This window comes from Homo sapiens, chromosome 20 (genome assembly GCF_000001405.40).
Source record: "Homo sapiens chromosome 20, GRCh38.p14 Primary Assembly".
Taxonomy (NCBI): domain Eukaryota; kingdom Metazoa; phylum Chordata; class Mammalia; order Primates; family Hominidae; genus Homo; species Homo sapiens.
Window position 1 is genome coordinate 2,588,594 of NC_000020.11, and position 22,985 is coordinate 2,611,578.

At 42.8% G+C, this 22,985-nt stretch overlaps 1 protein-coding gene across 3 annotated transcripts in view; it reads left to right on the plus strand.

The window, feature by feature from the left end:
- The window catches only part of TMC2 (transmembrane channel like 2), a 107,008-nt gene that overhangs the window by 52,021 nt on the left and 32,002 nt on the right, over positions 1 to 22,985 (plus strand). For all 3 annotated transcript variants that reach the window (XR_001754152.2, NM_080751.3, XM_005260660.5), the window contains 5 exons: positions 3,717 to 3,815; positions 6,232 to 6,374; positions 8,558 to 8,705; positions 13,520 to 13,708; positions 21,826 to 22,005. Coding sequence is in view for 2 of the 3 variants with exons in the window: in NM_080751.3 (NP_542789.2) it covers positions 3,717 to 3,815; positions 6,232 to 6,374; positions 8,558 to 8,705; positions 13,520 to 13,708; positions 21,826 to 22,005 (759 nt within the window). In the remaining variant the exon portion in view is untranslated. The remainder of the gene's footprint in view (positions 1 to 3,716; positions 3,816 to 6,231; positions 6,375 to 8,557; positions 8,706 to 13,519; positions 13,709 to 21,825; positions 22,006 to 22,985) is intronic.

Here is a 22,985-nt window from a genome sequence, read left to right on the forward strand (position 1 = left end):
ATTCTCTGCCATAATCCCTTTAAATACTGTTTCTATGCCATTCCATCTTCTCTCTCCTTCTGGGACTACATATATGTGTGTGCCTTTGCATGTGTCTTTGTGTGTGTGTGTGTGTGTGTGTGTGTGTGTCTTGTCTCAGTGAGCCTTGTCTCTGTATTTCCATGTATGCCTTATGCTCTTTTCAGTATCTTCCATCTTTTTCTCTATATATTTAAGTCTGGACTTTTTTAACCCTGTATTAAAATTTAGCCATTCTCTTTTCTGATCTATATGTTCTTAAATCTGTCCATTGAGCTTTTAATTTCGATGATCACATGCTTCAGTTCTATAACTTCCATTTGATTGTTTTTATAGTTTCCAGTTCTCTACCAAAATGATTCATCTTGTCCCTTAATTCCTTAAGCATATTAATCAAACTTATTTTAAAGCTCATGACTGACAACTCCCTTATTTAGACTTCCTTTGAATCTGTTTTTATTGTTTAATTTTTCTTTTAGTTTTTAGTCAAGCTGAGTGCTACGCATTGTTTGTGAGCAATTATTGAGTTTTACTTATTCCTCTGGTGGGAGAACTAAGCAAGATGGTCTATATTTTTGTCTAATTTTACTTTCTGAGTAAAATCTTCCCAGGCCTCAACTAAAAGCTTGGGCTTTTTCCAGATATCTTCCTATTTGCCCTGTGTGTGTGTGTGTGTGTGTGTGTGTGTGTGTGTGTGTGTGTGTGTGTGTGTGGAGATGGGGTTTTTCCATGTTGCCCCGGCTGGTCTTGAACTCCTGAGCTCAAGCGATCCACCTGCCTCAACCTCCCAAACCTATTTGTCCTTAAATTTCACTCTCATTTCATTCTTCAGCCCTTTGACTATTCCAAAGTTGCTGCATACTGTCTTTATCTTTTAGCTGCTGTGATTGAAATCAACGAATAACTCATGGGGAACAGCAATGCACAATCACTTCTTCAGAATTTCTTTATCTCCTGGATCTTGGCAGCACAAGTCATGATTGTCCACTTGTCTAGTTGTTCTCAGTGAAAGAGTTTGTCCAAAGCAACTTCCCCTGCTTTTGCTGGCAGTACTGTTTGTTTGTTAATTTGTTTTTGAGACAAAGTCTCCCTCTGTCTCCCAGGCTGGAGTGCAGTGGCTCAATCTCGGCTCACTGCAAGCTCCGCCTCCCAGGTTCACGCCATTCTCCTGCCTCAGCCTCCCAAGTAGCTGGGACTACAGGCGCCCGCCACCATGCCCGGCTAATTTTTTGTATTTTTAGTAGACACAGGGTTTCACCGTGTTAGCCAGGATGGTCTCGATCTTCTGACCTCATGATCTGCCCACCTCGGCTTCCCAAAGTGCTGGGATTACAGGCATGAGCCACCGCGCATGGCCGGCAGTATTGTTTTTAATAGTAAAATCTGGAAACAATCCAAATGTCTATGAAGAGTAGACTGTGTAAATACATTATAGTATGTCCATACAATGCAATATTACGTAACAGTGAAAATTAGAGAACTGTAGCTACAAATGTCAATATCAATGAATCTCAAAAGTGTAATGTTGTATGAAAAAAACAATTCATAGGAGAATACTTATGCATGATTCCATTTTACAGGCAAAACTAAACAGGCAAAACAAAACAATAAATGAGTAAAATATAAGGAAAAACAAGGGAATTGTTAACATAAAATGTACTATATCTTGGTTGCATCTTAGGATGCAAGAGGGATATAATTCAGGAGGGGCTTATCCAGGGTACTATAAAGGCCTGGAAATTTCCTGTTTCTTAAGCTAGCTAGTGGATATATAGTAGTTAATTTCCTTTTTATTATGATCAACTATACATATATGTTATACATATACTATTTTATGTATAACATATTCCCCAATAAGAAAATAAATTTAAAACAAAGAAACAAAAAGAAATAAAAGAAAATTACCTAAAAATGAAGAACCTATAAATTAAGAAACAAAGTAATTTTATATTAAATGGTGAAAAATACTAAAGCCTGTTACAAAAATCAAAAGAAACATGATATATCCCTATCCCTACTACTTTTCAATATTAATTTCTGCCACCTAATGCAATGTCAGGAAAATTAACATCTTATACACTTCGTACAAAAAAAATACAAAGTTATTTTGGTTTGCAGGTGATATGATTGTAAACCCCCCAAAAACTCCAATGATTTTATGAAAAACTACTAGAATCTAATAAACAAGTATATTGAGATGACTGGAGTCATTTTAAAGACAAATGGCAGTGATTTTCTGTATATTTAATGTCCACTTAAAAATAGAATTTAAAATTTTGACACAATGCAATAAATTTATAAAATAACTAGTAATACATTTAATAAATCAGAATATTTCTATGAGGAACACTATAAAGAATTACTGGACAAAAATAAGACAATAAATGGAAGGATATATTCTTGGAAGGAAAAATTTAATCTCATTAAAAAGTCAATCCTTCCTAAATCAATATATAAATCTAATCCATTTCTGATTTTTTTTACAATTAAGGATATGAATAAGGGCATATGTATAAGGGTATTAATAACAGAATTATATACACGTATAGAACTAGAAATACTTTAATGTCCAACAATAGAGGATTTGTTAAGTAAGTTTCTTGTACATATTTTTATTAGATATTTTTGAAGTCATTTTATTTGGGGAAATACCTTATGACGTAGGAAACTGGTCACAAAATAATATTAGACTAAATAACTAGACTAAAATATACATAGAACTCAGAAATAACTAAAAGAAAATATATAAATATCTAACAGTCATTATCTTTGGGTTTTGGCACTGATAGGTAATTTTTAAAATGCTCTTCTGGCTGGGCACGGTGGCTCATGCCTGTAATCCCAGCACTTTGGGAGGCCAAGGTAGTAGGATCACTTGAGCCCAAGAGTTTGAGACCAGCTGGGCAACATGGCAAAACCTTGTCTCTACTAAAAATACAAAAAATTAGCTGGGCGTGGGGGTACACACCTGTAGTTCCCGCTACTCAGGAGGCTGAGGTGGGAGGATCACGTGAGCCAGGGAGGCAGAAGTTATTGCAATGAGCCGAGATGGAGCCACTGCACTCCAGCCTAGGTGATGAAGTGAGAACCTGTCTCAAAAAAGAAAGAAAAGAAAAGAGAAAAGAGAAGAAAAGAAAAGAAAAGAAAAGGAAAGGAAAAGAAAAGAAACGCTCTTCTGTACTTTTTCACATTTTTTACAATGAGTGTGTGTTACTCTTAAAATCAGGAAAGCGATCAATGTTATTTAAAGAAGAAAATAGAGCCGGGCTCAGTGGTTCACGCCTGTAATCCTGGCACTTTGGGAGGCCAAGGTGGGTGGATCACCTGAGGTCAGGGGTTCAAGACCAGCCTGGCCAACATGGTGAAATCCTGTCTCTACTAAAAATACAAAACAGCCAGGCATGTTGGCAGGCACCTGTAATCCCAGCTACTCGGGAGACTGAGGCAGGAGAATCACTTGAACCTGGGAGGCGGAGGTTACAGTAAGCTGAGACTGTGCTATTGCACTCCAGCCTGGGTGACAAGAGTGAAACTCCATCTCAAAAAATAAAAAATGAATTAAATTAATAAATACATAAAGAAAGAAGAAAATAGGTGTATTCCGCTCTGAGAAGGAAAGCATTTACCCCAGTATATGAATGTCTCTGTGTGTTTGTATTTCCTCCACTCATACTTGTGTCATTGTGTTTCTGCACAAGGTACTGATGGGCATGCCCTATGGGAGTATTCCCAGAAAGACAGTGCCTCGGGCTGAGGAAGAAAAGGCCATGGATTTTTCTGTCCTTTGGGATTTTGAGGTACTATTGTCAACATGCCAATGAACTTCCATTTGTGATTATAAAGGCTAAAGATTGCATGGATAAGTATGAAATAGTGCGTTTAATTATTGAAAAACCATTGCTTTAATAGGATCCCAGCACTAAGCTAAATGAGCTTGCAAACCATGTCTCTGCACAGTCTTCCCGGGTCTCCTTCACGCACTGCTCTCTCCAGCCACACTCTGACAGATGTGGGCTCCCCATGCAGCCACTGCACCTCTCTGTCTGCCAGGTCTCTGTAAGGTGATCTCACGGTATGCTTTTCTTTCCTCATTCCCACATTAAGACCCCAGATCTATCTCCACTCCAGGCTTCCCCAAGTTTCACATGACATCTTCAACTGAATGTCCTACTTGCTCTTCAAATGCAACACCTATCCAGCCAAAACCCACATCTCTTTTTCCCAGCTCCTTTATTGGAATCACCATTCATCCAATCATCCATGTCTGAAGCCTGAAAATCATCCCACGCTTCTACCTCTTCCTCACCAACCACCCGCCACTGCCATCCAACCAACCACTAAATCTGAACCTACCTACTAAATATTTCTTAAATCTTTTGTAAACCCAATTGTATTAGTTCATGTTCACACTACTACCTGAGACTGTGTCATTTATAAATAAATGGGTTTAATTGGTTCACAGTTCCGCATGGCTGGGGAGGCCTCAAGAAACTTGCAATCACAGTGGAAGGCAAAGGGGAAGCAAGGCACTTCTTACATGGCAGCAGAAGACAGAGAGCACAGGGGAAATGCCAGAAACTTATCAGAACAACCAGATCTCACCAGAACTCCCTCCCTATCATGAGAACAGCATGGGGGAAACTGTCCCCATGATCCATTCACCTCCCACCAGGTCCCTCCCTCAACACCTGGGGATTACAATTGAAGATGAGATTTGGCTGGGGACACAGAGCCAAACCATATCACCAATTAAGAACCTTGGCTTTTATTCCATTTGGGAATGAGAATCAATGAATATCTGAGGAGGAAGAAAATCAGTGAATATCTGGACTGAGTAAGAAAAAGCCACGGAGTTTTTCATCCTTCAAGATTTCAAGGTGCTATTGCCAATGTACCAATGAACTTCCACTTGTGATTGTAAGGCCTAAAGATTGCGTGTGTAAGTGTGAAACAGTGGACTTGATTATTGAAAAACCAGTTCTTTAATCAAATAGGATCCCATCATTAGGCAAAATGCGTTTTTCCATCTCTTTTACCTTCACTTTGAATAACGTCCTCCCTTTACTGGAACTACTGTCAGAATCATCTACCTCTCCTCCCTGCCTTGGCTTGGCTCCTAAAATTTCCATTCCCTTTGTTGCTGGAGTGATCTTTATAAAATGCAGATCTGACCCTGTCACTCCCCTACCTCAAATTTTCATTGATTCTCATTCCCAGTGGAATAAAATCCAGTGTTCTTAATTGGGTTTACAAAGGAACTGTTCATGACCTGGCTGCTCCCTACCTCTCCAGTAATACCTCACACTTTAGTGCCCCAATGCCACCAAGCTTTGGGGAAGTCCCTGCACGCATCACACACTGTCATTGCCTCTCTGCCTTTGCTTATGGCCCTCTGCCTGCAGCACTCTTCCCTCCTTTGTGAGCTTCATACTCCCATGCCTCTGGAGGCTTACTCTGCAGCTCCAAGGGCTTCCTAAGGCTGGGAGGCATGGCTGTAGTGCTGCCCACAGCAAGTCATTGCTGCTGCCATCCTTCACTCTCAAAGTCAGATTGGAGACCCTTCAGAAAGTTATTTGGAACAGGGGTTCCCAACTATACTGTTACTAAGGATTCCTTTTTTTTTTTTTTTTTTTTGAGACAGAGTCTCCCTCTGTTGCCCAGGCTGGAGTGCACGGGCATGATCTCTGCTCACTGCAACCTCCACCTCCCAGGTTCAAGTGATTCTCCTGCCTCAGCCTCCCAAGTAGCTGAGATTACAGGCACCTGCTATTACACCTGGCAAATTTTTGTATTTTTAGTAGAGACAAGGTTTCACTACGTTAGCCAGGTTGGTCTTGAACCCCTGGCCTCAAGTGATCTGCCTACTTCAGCCTCCCAAAGTGCTGGGATTACGGGCGTGAGCCACAGTGCCCAACCCCCTATCCCTAATTTGATCCCAAATGTTAACAACACTCTCTTCTCCCTCCCATGTCTCCATGCACTCTATGTAATGAGGAAATAGAGGGAATGAAGGAGAGAAAGAAGGGGAGATATGGAGGGGCTCTGGAGCCACTGGAGGAGGTGAAGGGAAGAACAAGAACATCTGGAACTCTTCCTTCGGCCCTTAGATTCGGTTAAGACTCTGAGAAAGAAATCCCTGGTAGAGTAGACATGTCTGGTAACCACCAGCTCTGAGCTTACCAACCCAGAGCATTTGGCTTTGCTGTCCCCCAGGGCTATATCAAGTACTCTGCACTCTTCTATGGCTACTACAACAACCAGAGGACCATCGGGTGGCTGAGGTACCGGCTGCCTATGGCTTACTTTATGGTGGGGGTCAGCGTGTTCGGCTACAGCCTGATTATTGTCATTCGATCGTAAGTATGACCGTCTCATCCGCAGGCTTTGACTTCACAGCCACAGCTCACTCCCCTGGCCACTCTATGCCTACCTCCCTTCTGGTGGGGCATTCAGAGAGAAAACAGGAAATGAGCACAGAAAGCATATGCACATTATAATTTGTGGTATGAAAGACATGAACCAGGCCATGTGGGATGTGCTGGGAAATAGGATTGAAACCCCTTTGGATGAGGCTGAGAACGCCAGCCATGCTGAAATTCTGGGGAGCAGCATTTTAGACAAAAGAAGAGCATGTGCAAAGGCCCTGAGGCCGCAAATAGCCTAGTGTTTTCCCAAACTGCCAAAAGGCCAGTGTGGCTTGAGAGGGAGCATAGTACCTAGTAAGGTAGGCCTGGAGGTTTGTCAGGCCTGTTTTTGCTTTTGTCCAGAGCTCAGCTTCCTCCAAAAAACTCTTCTGCTCCTCCAAACTCTAGCTTGTGTGTTAGAACCAAGGCTGGCATATAGAAAGATACAACCAAATAAACTTATACTAAATAAATATATGTGGCAGTGATTAACCATGGCGGCCTCTCTGGCCCCAACTCTACTTGTCTCTGTGGTCAGAAGTGGCCTTTTAATATGTCTGTAACTCTTAATTCCTATTCTCTGAAAACTTGGCCCAGCCCATGGATTGATCGCCTTCTTCAGAATCAGGGGACCCCATCAGCTGTGGCTGGGGGTCACGGAGTGGAAGGCACTGTCTCCTACACAAACCTATCCACCTGGGCCCACTCTCCCTTCAGCACAGACATGAGGGGTCACAGCCTCCCAGAAGAGGGTGGCTGTGTCTCCAGGAGAGGAGTGGAGCACTGGGTAGAGTGAAGTCTGGGTACAGCCCCTGAAAGGGCAATGGGGACGCTTGGTTTTCTTTCACATGGTCTCAGGCGGAAATGCTGTTGTTCCCAAGACCCTGCCCAGCACTCGACAGTGACCACTGGGTGATCTCTGACTGCACAGCCCTATCAGGCAAAAGGAAAAGAACAAGGAGACAGGCTTGCTTTTATTCTTAGCCCTCATGTTGTTGCTTTTTCCCTGCTCTCACCCCAGATAAGTATAGAAATATGCAAAGTTTTCGTGACAAACCAAAAAAGCTAACTAAGCCCTGTGGAACAGCAAATCCAGAGAGCCAACATGTTAGGGAAGATGACAAACCCCTCATAGTATCTTATAGCACCCCTGTTTGGAATTCTGTGATTCCCACAGGGTCAAACTCTAGGGAGCATAGGTTGAAGACAGGTAGGATGAAATAGGAAGGTCCAAGGTGCTTTCAGCCAAACTTGATTAAGAGAAGGATATATGACCTGATTGTATTAGGACGGTGCAAAAGTAATTGATGGTTTTGCAATTAAAAGTAGTACCGGGCCGGGCGTGGTGGCTCACACCTGTAATCCCAGCACTTTGGGAGGCCGAGGCAGGCAGATCACCTGAGGTCAGGAGTTCGAGACCAGCCTGGCCAACATGGCAAAACCCCATCTCTACCAAAAATACAAAAAATTAGCCAGGCGTCCTGGCAGGTGTTTGTAATCCCAGCTACTCGGGAGGCTGAGACAGGAGAATTGCTTAAACCCGGGAGGTGGAGGCTGCAGTGAGCCAAGATCAGGCCACTGCACTCCAGCCTGGACGACAGAGCGAGACTCTGTTACCAAAAAAAAAAAAAAAAAGTAGCACAACAAAGTAGCACCAGCCACCTCAGTGTGTTTTGCATTTTATATCAGAAAAAAATATATATGTGTGTGTGTGTGTGTGTGTGTGTGTATGTGTGTGTGTGTTCTATCCAAGAAAATAGATGACTTAGAAGGGGACGTTCCTGTTTGAGAATAGACTCCCGTATAGAGTTCTCAAACTGCATTTGCAGATGAGTCAAGCCACAGGAAATCGGGTGTAGGGAAGAAAACATGGTCACGTGTCTTGTCTCCTGCAGGCTTTTTATTACCTCATTGATACCATGTGTGCTTTCAGGGGACTCTGAATTTGGGGGGAAGGGTGTCCTGGCTATCCTCAAAGCTGTCTTGGCTCAAGTCCCTGCCTGGCTTGTTTTGTCACTGAATGTCAGCTACCTGTTTATCTGTTACCTGTGTCCGAGACTGGCTAGGCCAAGGTTCCCTGGGGGTGACACAGCAGAAAGAGGGCAGACGTCACAACAGTGCTGTGTGCCCTACAGGATGGCCAGCAATACCCAAGGAAGCACAGGCGAAGGGGAGAGTGACAACTTCACATTCAGCTTCAAGATGTTCACCAGCTGGGACTACCTGATCGGGAATTCAGAGACAGCTGATAACAAATATGCATCCATCACCACCAGCTTCAAGGTAGTCACCCCAGGGCAGTTCCCACTTCCGGAGAACTCTAGGTCCCTCTGGTCATTGAGAGACTTCTCCCAGCTGGGACATAGAAAATAAGGTCCTCAAATAATTTGTGGCAAGAGCCTTCCCAGAAATGTGAGCCCAGTTTTCAAACCCTTAAGTAAGAATGTTCGTGGCTGGTGCCCACTGTCTGTTTCTTTTCTTTTCTTTTTGAGACAGCATCTCTCTCCCATTGCCCAGGCTGGAGTGCAGTGGTGTGCTCTCAGCACACTACAACCTCTGCCTCCTGGGCTCAAGCGATCCTCCTGCCTCAGCCTCCCGAGTAGCTGGGACTACAGGTGCCTGCCACTATGCCCAGCTAATTTTTTTTTTTTTTTGTATTTTTAGTAGAGATGGGGTTTTACCATGTTGGTCAGGCTGGTCTTGAACTGCTGACCTCAAGTGATCTGCCCTCCTGCACCTCCCAAAGTGCTGGGATTACAGACATGAGCCACCACGCCCAGCCTGTCTGTTTCTTAATATGACAGAGTATCCTGGATGCTGAGACCTGGTGCTGCCTGTTTCTACGTGAAACACATTTCTGCTGGAATAAGTGGAAGGACTCATTTGGGGAAAGCATTTCTCAACTTTTTCTGCATACTAGAATCACCTGAGGAGCTTAAAAGATCTCCTGGGATCCACTAACAGAGACTCTGATATAACTGGCCTGGAGTAGGGTCCTGACATTGGTTTTTCAAAAGCTCCCCAAGTGATTAGAATACTCAGAAAGAGCTGAGAACCCTGGTTTGGGGCTGTGGGAATAAAGAAATCAACACTGATGGCTGCGCCAAAATCTCAGAAATCACCACTGAAGAACTTATTCATGTAACCAAACACCACCTGTTCCCCAGAAAGCTAGTGAAATGAAAAAAAAAAAAAAGAATTTGAACTTGGTAGTTGGAAAATAACAAAGAGAGAGAAAGGGAGACAGAGTGAAAGCTTGGTGACAGAAGGCTAGCAATATGGTCTGTGCAGATCAGTCCCACAGGGGCTGAGGTGGGCAAACCTTTGCACGTGTGTAGGATTCTGACTGAGAGGGTTCCTTCACAGACCTTGCCTCTACTTTATTTATTTATTTATTTATTTATTTATTTATTTATTGAGACAGAGTGTCGCTCTGTCACCCAGGGTGGAGTGTAGTGGCAAAATCTCAGCTCACTGCAACCTCCGGCTCCTGGGTTCAAGTGATTCTCCTGCTTCAGCCTCTTGAGTAGCTGGGATTACAGGTGCACATCACCATGCCCGGCTAATTTTTTTGTATTTTTAGTAGAGACATGGTTTCACCAGGCCAGTCTCAAACTCCTGACCTCAAGTGATCTGCCCGCCTCGGCCTCCCAAAGTGCTGGGATTACAAGCATGAGCCACTGTGCCCAGCCCATGTCTCTACTTTAAAATCACCATTTATTTTCTAAACAAGAGTTTTTTTCATGTGAAGTGCTGCTGACAAAGTTTCCATCATTTTCCAGTGAGACTGGGTGTTGTTTATTTATGTGACTGGTATAAAAACAGGCATGGGGGGTTCTGAAAACAAAACAAAACAAATCAAAACACAGTTCCATGAGATAAAAAAAGAGACAGAAAGTTTCCTGTGTGTACATGTCCAAAAAAAAGGTACAACAAAGCAGAAAAACCCTTCTGAGGGTGCATAATAAACAAAGGACTATTTTAGGGTTCTAAGTTGCAGTTGGAGTGTATGTATAATTGAGTGGTTGGGTTTGCATATTTAAAAAATAAAAAGTATTTTTAGTAGAGATGGGGTTTCACCATTTTGGCCAGGCTGATCTTGAACTCCTGACCTCAAATGATCCACCTGCCAATCCCAGCTACTCGGGAGGCTGAGGCAGGAGAATCTCTTGAATCCAAAAGACAGAAGTTGCGGAGAGCCAAGATCGCACCACGGCATTCCAGCCTGAGTGACAGAGTGAGACTCTGGCTCAAAATGAATGAATGAATGGGATAATGTTAAAAAAAAAAAAAAAAAAAAGATGAAATCAACCCTATGTTTCTTTCAATCCACACACAAATAATTTCTTTACAAGAGAGGTTTGAGGAGGTCTACAGAACTATAGCTCATATAAAATAACCATCCAGCTGGGAAGCAAATGAATGAAGGCCAAAGCTGTAATGCTGAAGCATTGTACATTGTACTTTGCCCCCGTGATTGTAAAAACCATTCCAAGTTCTTCGTTTTTTTTTTCTTTAATTACATTTTTTTTTTTTTTTTTTTTTTTGGAGACAAGGTCTCACTCTGGCTGGAGTGCCATGCCCAGTTAAATTTTTCTATTTTTTGTAGAGATGAAGTCTCTCACTATGTTGCCCAGGCTGGTCTCAAATTCCTGGCCTCAAGCCATCCTCCCTCCCTGGCCTCCCAAAGCACTGGGATTACAGGTGTGAGCCACTGCACCCAGCTCCCATTCCAAGTTCTTTATGGCTCAATATTTCTCCTGTCTGATCAGTGAAGCTTTCTTTCCCCCAGGACCTAGCAAAGCTCACATTACACTACAACTGCGCTTCGTTCTCTTTTCTTTGCCCCTCCCCTCTCTTGAATTCCTTCCTGCTGTCCACTGACTGATGCCTGCAGATGGCAGGGACACCCACTAGGAAAAGGGCTTGAGCTCAGCAACTCACAGCATGGGTTTCCCAGCCCTAGAGCCCGGTGGGCTTTGCAGTGCATGGAGCAGGGAGCTGACTCTGTCTCCTCTCCTTCTCCTTCTTACAGCAATGGGGGGCTTATGGCCACTTCCATCCAAAGCCAGGGTAGGGGTGACTGGGGGCTTTGACTTTTCCTCCAGGATTGTGAGAGAGGGACAAAGAAGATCAATGTCTTTGAAACACTTTGAACATGTGAGAAGTAAAATGACTTCTTTTGTAAGTTTATTAAAAGAGACATAATATACTTGTATAACAGAATAGATGTGAAAATTCTGTGAATTAAGACTTTGGGGTCTGGGAGAGCTCATTTTTCATCCTGGTTCTACCAATTACTCTGTGTCTAGGGCACAAGTTTAATAATCAAAAATCAATTTTTATATACTAACAGAAAACAATTCGAAAATAAGTTTAAGGCCAGGCACAGTGGCTCATGCCTGTAATCCCAGCACTTTGGGAGGCTGAGACAGGTGGATCACCTGAGGTCAGGAGTTTGAGATCAGCCTGGACAACATGGGGAAACCCTGCCTCTACTAAAGATACAAAAATTAGCCGGGTGTGGCTGGGTGTGGTGGCTCACGCCTGTAATCCCAGAACTTTGGGACGCTGAGGCGGGCAGATCACGAGGTCAAGAGATCGAGACCATCCTGGCTAATACAGTGAAACCCTGTCTCTACTAAAAATACAAAAAAAATTAGCCGGGCATGGTGGCGGGTGCCTGTAGTTCCAGCTACTTGGGAGGCTGAGGCAGGAGAATGGCGTGAACCTGGGAGGCGGAGCTTGCAGTGAGCCGAGATTGTGCCACTGCACTCCAGGCTGGGTGACAGAGCAAGACTCGGTCTCAAAAAAAAAAAAATTTAGCCGGGTGTGGTGGTGGGCACCTGTAATCCCAGCTACTCAGGAGGCTGAGGCAGGAGAATCACTTGAACTTAGGAGGCGGAGGTTGCAGTGAGCCGAGATCATGCCACTGCACTCCAGCCTAGGCGACGCAGCAAGACTGTCTCAGAAAAAAAAAAAAAAAAAAAGAAAAAAAAGTTTAAGTTCTATTAATAGTATCCAAAAAAAACCCATAAAATTCCTAGACATAAATTTAACCAAAATAATGTACAAGACCATTACACCAAAAGTATAAAATATTGCCGAAAGAAATTAAGAAACCCTAATGGAGAGATATGCTATGCTGATGGATTAGAACAGAGGTTGGCAAACTATGGCCCACAGGCCAAATCCAGCCTGCTGCCTACTTTTACAAATAATGTTTTATCGAAACAAAGGCATTCCAATTTATTTACATCTTGTCTATGGTTGCTTTCATGCCACAATGGCATAGCTGAGTGGTTGTGAGAGAGACCATATGACCAGCAAACCAAAAATACTATCTAGCTTTTTATAGAATGAGTTTGCCAACCCTCGATTAGAAGACTCAATATTTTAAGATTCAGTTGGAATCTATTTGACCTATAGACTTAACATGATCCCAATCAGTTACTGAAATCTCTCTGGGCCTTGGGGTCTGTAATGTGGGTAATAACAGTAACTATTCTACTGGTGTGTTGCTGGGATTAAGAGGGACAATGCAGCCAGGCACAGTGGCTCATGCCTGTAATCCCAGCAGTTTGGGAGGCTGAGGCAGGCAGATCACCTAAGGTCAGGAGATCGAGACCAGCCTGACCAACATGGAGAAACCCCATCTCTACTAAAGATATAAAATTAGCCAGGCGTGGTGGTGCATGCCTGTAATCCCAGCTACTCGGGAGGCTGAGGCAGGAGAATCACTTGAACCCAGGAGGTGGTGAGCCGAGATTGCACCATTGCACCCCAGCCTGAGCAACAAGAGCAAAACTCTGTCTCAAAAAAGAAAAAAAGAGGGACAATGCACGGAAAGTACCACGTCTGACACATGGTGACTATTTAAGAAATCTAAGTGTTTCTTACATGTACTGGAATAGCAATAACAACAAACATATTTTTCTAAAGAAAATAATTATCCATAGGGCACAGGGCATTACATCATCTCCTCTGTATTATTTCATTTCTGGAAATATAGAAAGTACTATTTTCAGGGACCCAACAGCCATGGTTCTGGCATTTCTGGCCTGACATTTATGCACATCTCATTTTCACACATTAAGGAATCAATAGTGGATGAACAAGAGAGTAACAAAGAAGAAAATATCCATCTGACAAGATTTCTTCGTGTCCTGGCCAACTTTCTCATCATCTGCTGTTTGTGTGGAAGTGGGTACCTCATTTACTTTGTGGTTAAGCGATCTCAGCAATTCTCCAAAATGCAGAATGTCAGCTGGTATGAAAGGAATGAGGTAAGAAAAACATCGCTGATGAACTGAAGGTTGATGGCAAATACTGAAATCACTGGTTCCTATGCCATTCATTTCATTTATCGAAAGTCTGGATTATAGGCTTGTTTTAATAAGTGAAATTACATCCCCTTCCAGTCAAATAGCATGAATATCCTGAAGAAAAAGTCACCTATTATTAGGTTTTGGGAACTGGCTTTTACAACTAGAAAAACTGGATTAGCAACTGGATAGCCACCTGTGCAACACCAATTACTAACGAGGCGATCCTTTCCTCACAGCTTTGCAGCGCCATACATCGTAAATCAAGTGTCTATTAATGCATGGGTATGATTCTGGGCTCTCTTTTCTATTCCTGTTTGTCTATTCCTGCACAAATAACAAACTGATATACTATGCATTTACACTATGTCTTAATATCTGATAGAGCGAGTTTTCTCATCAAGCTCCACAATAAAACACATTAAGGTTTTATTGTGATAACACAGAATCCATAAACCTCTTTCGGGAATTTGACATCTGTGGTCGTTTGTGAAAATGGCTACAAATTCTTCCTATCCTTGTATGCACATCCCTTTGCTTTCCTTTGCACATTCACGAAGAGGTGGAATCTGTGTCCTCCATCTTTTGAATCCACCTTAGCTTGGTCATGTGACTTGGTTTAGCCAATGGAACAATAGCAACCATGAAACATGCAGAGATTTGAATAGTGCTTGTGTATTGAGACTTGCTCTTTTACTGCTTTTGGGAACCCTGAGACCTTCGTCATGTGAATAATCTCTGGCTAGCCTCCTGAATGATGAGACACATGGTCCAGTTATCTCCCCACCCTGGCCAATAGCCAGTAAACCACCAGATATTTGAATGGAGCCATCAGCTATCAGCAGGTAAGGCCAACAAAAGAACGACCCAGTTAAGCCCAGTTTAAAAAAAAAAAAAATGCTGCCCCACAGAATCATGAGCTAAATAAATTAATAATAAGAAAGAGTTTATCTTGCATTCAAACAGCAATTTAAAAAAAGAAGACAGCCTATCTTCCCCCAACAAAGCAAGAAAGGATATAAAAAAGGAAATATGGCATTGATAGGAGGACAAATATAAAGCACAAAATCAGATTTAAGTCTAAATATATCAGTGATTCTAATAGATGTAAATGGATTTGATGCTACAGTTTGAGGACAATAATAATTAGATCAAAAACTGTTAAAGCTATGTGCTATTTATAATTAACCCATCTAAAACATCAGGACACAGAAAGGTTTAAAATAAAAGAATGGGCCAGTGGTTTCTGCTAGTGGTGGCCTAGGTTATTTGGATCAAGTAATTAATTAAAAGCCCTAAAAATGCTCATTTAAAGAAAAAGCATACCTTGAAAACACTGAGGATTTGAAAACACAGTGAGAGACCCCCAAGACCAATTTTAAGTGAAAGCCTGTGACCAGAAATATAAGGGGAGTATCAGTGCCAAGTCTTATGCTCTGAAGGCAAATGCTGACTTTTCAAACACTTGTTCCTGTGCTCTAGTTCCATCCCACTAGGGCCAGTGTCTTAGCCTATGTTGTGTTAATTAGGTTCCTGCAGCCTTGATGTGCTGACTCTGTCCTAAGTTGGGAAGTTTCACAATAGCCAACTAGCAGTTCTTGAATTCCTGATTTATTTCCAGGCCTTCATACCCCATCAGTCACTCCACTAATGTTCAACACACAGGCAGTAATAAGAGGGAGGTAACAAACCACAACGATGGCTCCGGAGACCAACACATCAACAGATGAGCCAAGTGGGTCCAGAAGTCATTCAGGCACTGGCCAGCAGAAGTGGGCATCGCTGTTTCTCTCTTGCAGAGCTTCCAGCAGCCACTGCCAAAATCGGGAGAAGGTTCCAGAGTTCCCATGGGCAGAGCCTCCGAAGGCTTTTTGAACAAGGCCAGGTCCTGGCTGCTTTTATGATCCTCCCAGATGGGTCTGTTCTCTTTATCTCAGCCAACGTTTCATTCTCTACCAGTTAATTTCAGGAAATACCAGGCAGCAGCAGGTGTTTGCTTATCACCTCAGTCCATTATATACATGCTTATCACTTTGAGAGAGGGCGGAACAATTTCACTATGGGCTTAATGCTTTTTGACATGAGTGACTCTATTTTGAGACATTAGGATCACAAATTATGATATATGAGTTTGCTAGGGCTGTGATATTATTATATATTTCTTATTATATATTGGTCTGCTCCCAGTTTCTGGCACACAGCCCCTAAAACCCTTGGAATCTCTAAAGTGATCAGTGTTTTTTTTTGTATGCTAGTAAGATGACTGGTTGCTGGAAGCTCCTGGATAACCTCTGCATCTGGGCTGGCTGCCAGGGGAACCAGCCAGTGATTAGAAAATTGGAACTTTCAGCCGTATCCCGTCACCTCCAGGGAGGGGAGAGGGGCTGAGGTTGAGTTGATCACTAATGGCCAGTGATTTAATCAATCATGACTACATAATGACGCCTCCATAAAAACCCAAAGGGCAGAGTTTGAAGAGTGGGCCTGGAAGCTCCAAGCCCCTTGCCCATACCTTACCCTATGCATCTCTTCCACCTGGCCATTCCTGAGTTATATCCTTTGAAATAAACAGATAATCTAGTAATTAAATTGTTTTCCTGAATGATTTGCTTACTCTAGCAAATGACCAAACCCAAGAAGGGGATTGTGAGAATCTCTGCTTTATAGCCAAATCGAACAGAAGTTGCCAGTAACCTGGTGACCTAATACTTGTGATTGGCATCCAAAGTGGGGGCAGGCTTGTGGGACTGAGCCCTTCACCTGTGGAGTCTGTGCTCACTCTGATTAGTGTCTTAATTGAATTGAATTGAATTTTACGCTACGCAGCTGGTATCAGAAAATTGGTTGGTATGGGAAAAAATTTGGTGTCAGAAGTGTCAAATGTGTCTGACACATTTGGTGTCAGAAGTGTCCTGGAAGTAAAGTGTTGATAGTATAGAAGGAAAAACATATAGGCTGCCACAACAAAGTACCACAGACTGAGTAGCTTAAACAACAGAAATGTATTTGCTCACCGTTCTGGAGGCTGGAAGTCCGAGATCAAGGAGTTGGCAGGTTTGCTTTCCCCTGAGGCTTGCAGGTGTCTGTCTTCTCCCTGTGTCCTTCTGTGACCTTTCTTCTGTGCATGTGCATGGAGAGAGAGAGAGAGAGATCTCTGGTATCTTTTCCTCTTCTTATAAGAACACCAGTCTTATTGGATTAGGTCCCACCCTTGTGACCTCACTTAACCTTAATTACCTCCTTAAAGGCCCCATCTCCAAATAGTCACATTGAGAGTTAGGACTTCAAGATACAAATTTGTGGGAGGAGGAGGAGACACGATTCAATCCATAAAGTCCAAAGAGACAAAGTTTCCAAACCAGGACTTTTCCATATTAGGAGGAGGGGAAAATCTCCCTAAATAGACCTCACCACCCCTCTCCCAGGAGTTAAGGCATTCAAGGTATGGGTGAACCTGATCTAACCCTCCTCCCACCTCCAGTAACTACTAAGAGGGCAGCTTGCTGTTTAGGCTGGAAGTGGAAAAGAGAAGGAAAAGGTGCTGTCCGCAGAGCCTGTGGCCTCAGACCTTCCACTGAGCAGACTTGTACCTGGGGCTGTCAGACCTTGACTTTGGTTTGAAGCATTGTAGATGGTAGTGTACCAGGTACCTGGCAGAACCAAGCTTAGAGCCTCTCTAATTCAGCATGTACATATCTAGGCCTCAGAGAACTCCATAAATAATTATTAAAGTCAATGACCAGAAAGAAGTCAAAGGTTACCTGGTATACAAGAAAACAAGGCAAAATGATAGACTTGCTCTTTTTACCTATATGCCAAGATTTATTTTCCTTTTTCTTTAAAGTCCATTAACTTTACTTAAGAATACATCCTGGTATTGGTCATTCTTGATATTCTCAGGTACACAGTGTATTTATTTATTTATTTATTTACTTTTGAGATGAAGTCTCGCTCTGTCACCCAGGCTGGAGTGCAGTGGCACGATCTTGGCTCACTGCAACCTCCACCTCCTGGGTTCAAACAATTCTCCTGCCTCAGCCTCCTGAGTAACTGGGATTACAGGCACGCATCACCATGCCTGGCTAATTTTTGTATTTTTAGTAGAGACAGGGTTTCACCCTGTTGGCCAGGCTGGTCTCAAACTCCTGACCTCAAGTGATCTGCCTGCCTCAGCCTCCCAAAGTGCTGGGATTACAAGTGTGAGCCACCATACCAGACCCAAAAGTTTTTAAAAATGTTAGGCAGATTCAAATCTTGTTTTTCATTTAAGGGAAGATTTATTGAATTATAGGTTTTTTTAATTTGTTCTATTCCCTTTTTTGGGTTTTCTTCTTTAGGACCTCCTATTATACCCGTGTTGAATCTTCTTTGTCTCTCTTCAATATATCTTGTTTTCTCCTGAATCCTATTAACTTCTTTCTTCATATATTTTTTATTTTTAAAACTTTCCCCCTTTTTATCTTTTTCTTGTCATTGTCATTATGTTTTGCAATTGTGATTCTCTTAGGTATTCTTCAATTTTAATATAGTTTTCCCTTAATTTCTTTTTTCTTTTTTTTTTTTTTTTTTTGCAGTATTCTGTCACCCTTTTTCTGGGTTTTTCTAATTTTTATTTATATTGTTTTGTGACCTATATTTTCTTAACATCTTTCAGTTTTCTGTTTTTGAATACTCATTATAATTTTTTAACTGTTTTATACAACTTACTTTTTGGTGCGTTTTCATTATCTGAAAGTTTAACCTACTTCTTGTTCTCTTTTCCTTGAAATAACTTTGTATGGGATTTGACCTAGAAAAAACTTTTCCACTGTTCATTTTTATATAAAGTTAGTTTTGCTGAAGTTTTAGTGAGGCATGGTTCAGGATGACTTTCCTAAGTTAACGGAGCTCTCTCTTCCACTGTTTTTATGAAGTCTTCAAAATATATGGTGGCTTGCTGGATGAGAGAGCTCCTGCCTCTCATCCCTTTTCTACTTTTTATCTAGACCTTCCCATTCCTTTATCTATATTCCCTCTCTCTGCTCAATTTCAATTCTGTTCTCAGAATAGTCTCCTTCATGTTGTGCCCTGTCCTGTTAGGGAGCTTAACTGACAAATTTCAAAAGTTCAAGAGGCCCAGGCTGTTTTAGCTCATCTCCAGATTAACCAAGAATGACCTTGCACTCACCTATTATTGGACCGAGCAGAGTTCCTCACAGTGTCAGCTGCTGTTCTCAGATTGTTCCACTATGCTTTTCATTGAGTACCTATTAGCCATTTTGACATCCTCCTGTTCTCAGATTCATTGGATACCCCACTGTTTCTCTTGACCTTCTCTCATCCAGACATGAACTCTGTAAGTACTTGTGGCTGTTGGTAATTTGTATTGTATTGTAGCCACTTGTATTTAAGGATTCATTAGGACACCTAGCTTCATTGTCTATGTGTTTTTTTATTTTATTATTTAATTGCTTTATCCAGTTTTACATGGGGATTCGGGAGATTCAAAAATCATGCTGTGATGGCCAGGTGCAGTGGCTCACGCCTGTAATCCCAGCACTTTGGGAGGCCAAGGCGGGTGGATCACCTGAAGTCAGGAGTTCGAGACCAGCCTGGCCAACATGGTGAAACCTCGTCTCTACTAAATACAAAAAATTAGCTGGGCATGGTGGCGCATGCCTGTAGTCCCAGCTACTTGGGAGGCTGAGGCAGGAGAATTGCTTGAATCCCAGAGGCGGAGGTTGCAGTGAGCCAAGACTGCGCCATTGCACTCCAGCCTGGGTAACAAGAGCAAAACTGTCTTAAAAAAAAAAAAAAGAAAAAAAGAAATTCATGCTGTGGCTATCATTATCTTCCCAGAACTCCAAGTTATTATTTTTAGTATGAAGATGCATTCACCATGAAAACCATCATTTTCTCTCAGGATAAAGTCCTAAATGGCTTTCCCTGACTTACCTTCCCAGTTGTACCCTTATTTTTATTTATTATTATTATTATTATTATTATTATTATTATTATTATTATTTGAGATGAAGTCTTGCTCTGTCATCCAGGCTGGAGTGCAGTGGCACGATTTCAGTTCACTGCAACCTCCGCCTCCCAGGTTCAAGTGATTCTCTTGCCTCAGTCTCCCAAGTAGCTGGGACTACAGGCACGCACCACCACACCTGGCTAATTTTTGTATTTTTAGTAGAGACGAGGTTTTGCCATGTTGGCCAGGCTAGTCTCAAACTCCTGAACCCAGGTGATCCACCTGCCTCAGCCTCCCAAAGTGCTGGGATTACAGGCATGACCCACTGCACCTAGCCCCCAATTGTACCTTTAGTCACTCTTACTCTTCCCATCTTCACTAAACTGCAGCACCATTGGCCTCTGTTCTACTGAGATGCCTTCTCTCACACACTCTCATCTCTCTTGAATAATTTCAGGTATGAGTTTAAATGTTATATCCTTATTTCTATTATATACTTAAAGTATTTACCCTTTGCAGCATTTTTACCTTTGTAATGATTAACTTATTATGGAATTATTTACATCTACTTTAAGTTCTTGTGGGCAGAGTGTGTGTGACTTTTTATCCTTTGTTGCATCTTTAGAATTTGGCACAGTGACTCACACATAGTAAGTGCTTAATAAATTAGAGATGGAGGAAAGACAAAGGAGAAAACTATTAACTGAATACCTACAATAGACCTCTATGCCTATTATTTATGCCTCATAGCACTATGGCAGGGTAGGCATCCTTAGTCCTAGTTTTCACATAAATATCTGAGGACCGGAAAGTTTAAGACACACAGCTTATTAGCAATGGAGTCAGGATTAGGACCCAGTACCTGTCTGGCTCTGAGTCTGTTTTGGGGGCCTCATTCCTGATTGCCTAAGCTTACCTCTAACCCACTCTGGATCAGTGCAGTTGGACATCAACTCAGACACTCCCAGCAGTGGATTAGAGGCCCCAGTGTAGCTCCTGACCTGGTCAGAATGGGTTTAAGATATGGGAAAGACAGGGACTTTGGGGGCCTCTCTGTAGGATGGGAGAACTGAGGAATAGAGTAAGAAAGGAAAAACGTCCCTTCCACAAAGCCTTCACTGGGTCACTAAGCTGTGAGAAGGACTCAAAAGATGCCCAAGATGAATTCTACCCTTAAGGGGATTGCAGTTTCCTTAGGATGCAGGCTCAACAAGAATAAACCAAAGCACAAACAATAGTAGGCAGGAATACCGTGATCAAATAAGATGTTTTAGGTTACAGATGGAATTGTCCATGAGAGCTGAAGAGGCAGTGGAATTTTGTGGCAAAGGCAGGAATTAGGCTGAACACTACACAAACATATAATGAAGGGCAGTGGTAGATATGGGGCAGTGATGGCTCTCCAGGTGAGAACTACATGGACAGGTACGGAGATGATGAGAAACCAAGCCAAGGGTCAGTGTGAGAGAGAGTGGGATAGTCAAGACCAGCCGAGAAGAGTTGACCAACTTGCAATTTGCAGGGATTTACTTTCCACTGGGTGAGCAGTTGTTTTTTGTTTGTTTTTGTTTTTTTGAGATGGAGTCTTGCTCTGTCACCCAGGCTGGAGTGCAGTGGTGCAATCTCGCCTCACTGTAACCTCCGCCTCCAGGGTTCAAGCAATTCTCCTGCCTCAGCCTCCCAAGTAGCTGGGATTACAGGTACATGCCACCACACCCAGCTAATTTTTTGTATTTTTAGTAGAGACGGGGTTTCACCATGTTAGCCAGGATCTCCTGGCTATCTCCTGACCTCATGATCTGCCTGCCTCGGCTTCCCAAAGTGCTGGGATTACAGGCGTGAGCCATTGCGCCTGGCCAGAAAGTGCTATTTTCATCAATACTAGTAACAACAACCATTATAGCATCTGGTCACACAGCAATTATGATATGCAAGCACAGGCCAAGTGCTCAGGGCATGTTGATGCCTTTGCCAGGGTCACACAGCAAGCTGTGTAGACCCCAGGGCATCTCCAGGCGCAGCAGAGGGGGCAGCAGAGAAGTGGAGATGGATGGCCATGGGAGTGCAGAGATGGCAGCCAAACAAGTATAATGTTGATGACACAACGTAGGCTTTCCTGATTCCTCAGGTAGAGATCGTGATGTCCCTGCTTGGAATGTTTTGTCCCCCTCTGTTTGAAACCATCGCTGCCCTGGAGAATTACCACCCACGCACTGGACTGAAGTGGCAGCTGGGACGCATCTTTGCACTCTTCCTGGGGAACCTCTACACATTTCTCTTGGCCCTGATGGATGACGTCCACCTCAAGGTAAAAACCACAACACCCCCCACCCCACTGCAATTCCTGGTGCCCATAGTATTTTCTTTTTTAATATAATAATTTCATTATATATAATTCATATTAATTAAATAAATGTAAATTAAGAAAAATAAAATTAAAAAAAAACTCCTTGGACTCTATGACCCAAAGATGACCATTGTTAACCTTTTCCTATAGTTTTTTACTGTCCTTTTCTCTGGTTGTCTTTTTTCACATCATATACATGTCATTTGATACCTTAATATTTTATCTTCAGCCTTTTCCACACTGTTTCAGAGCTGCCATAAATGATTAACAGCCAAGTAATTGTCCTCTAAGGGGCTATGTCATTACTTAACCGTTTATCAATGCTCACCACACAATTATGGAGCACCCACAATGGCAGGCCCTGGGGTAGAGCAGACAGGAAGACACAGTCCTGTCCCAAGTGTGTTCACACACTGGGCTGGGAGACAGACTTCATTACAGCACGCTGTGGGATGTGCTTCAGTAGTGGCAAGCCCAGGGCAGCATGGCAGTGCACAGGAGGAGCTCCAGATCCCTCCCTGGGGACCTTAGCAGACATTGGAAAAGGCAGAGGGAACAGCTGGGTCAACAGGGAACTGGAGTGGAGCAGAAGAGTGAAAAATTTAGAGCAAAGGAGGGCCCGATGATGCTGATGCCCCTCTTCTCCACCCCTTCCCTCCTTATTATTGAGCTGTAGGAACTTTTTCCTGATGCTAACAGAAAACTGTTCTAAGCATGGAAGTGACTGAATCTGGCCCTAACCTCTCCTCCCCACTCATCTCTGGCTTCCCTCCTACCCAGGAGACTGCTCTACCCTCCTGAGCCTCACATTTCTGCCACAGGGCAAAATTCTATCTTGCCTCTCTCTCCACCCCTCTCCTCATGTTTGACTAGTTGACTAATCCTTCTTGAGGTTTTGGCCCAGCTGTCACTGCCTCCCGGAAGTCTTCTGTGGCCCCCAT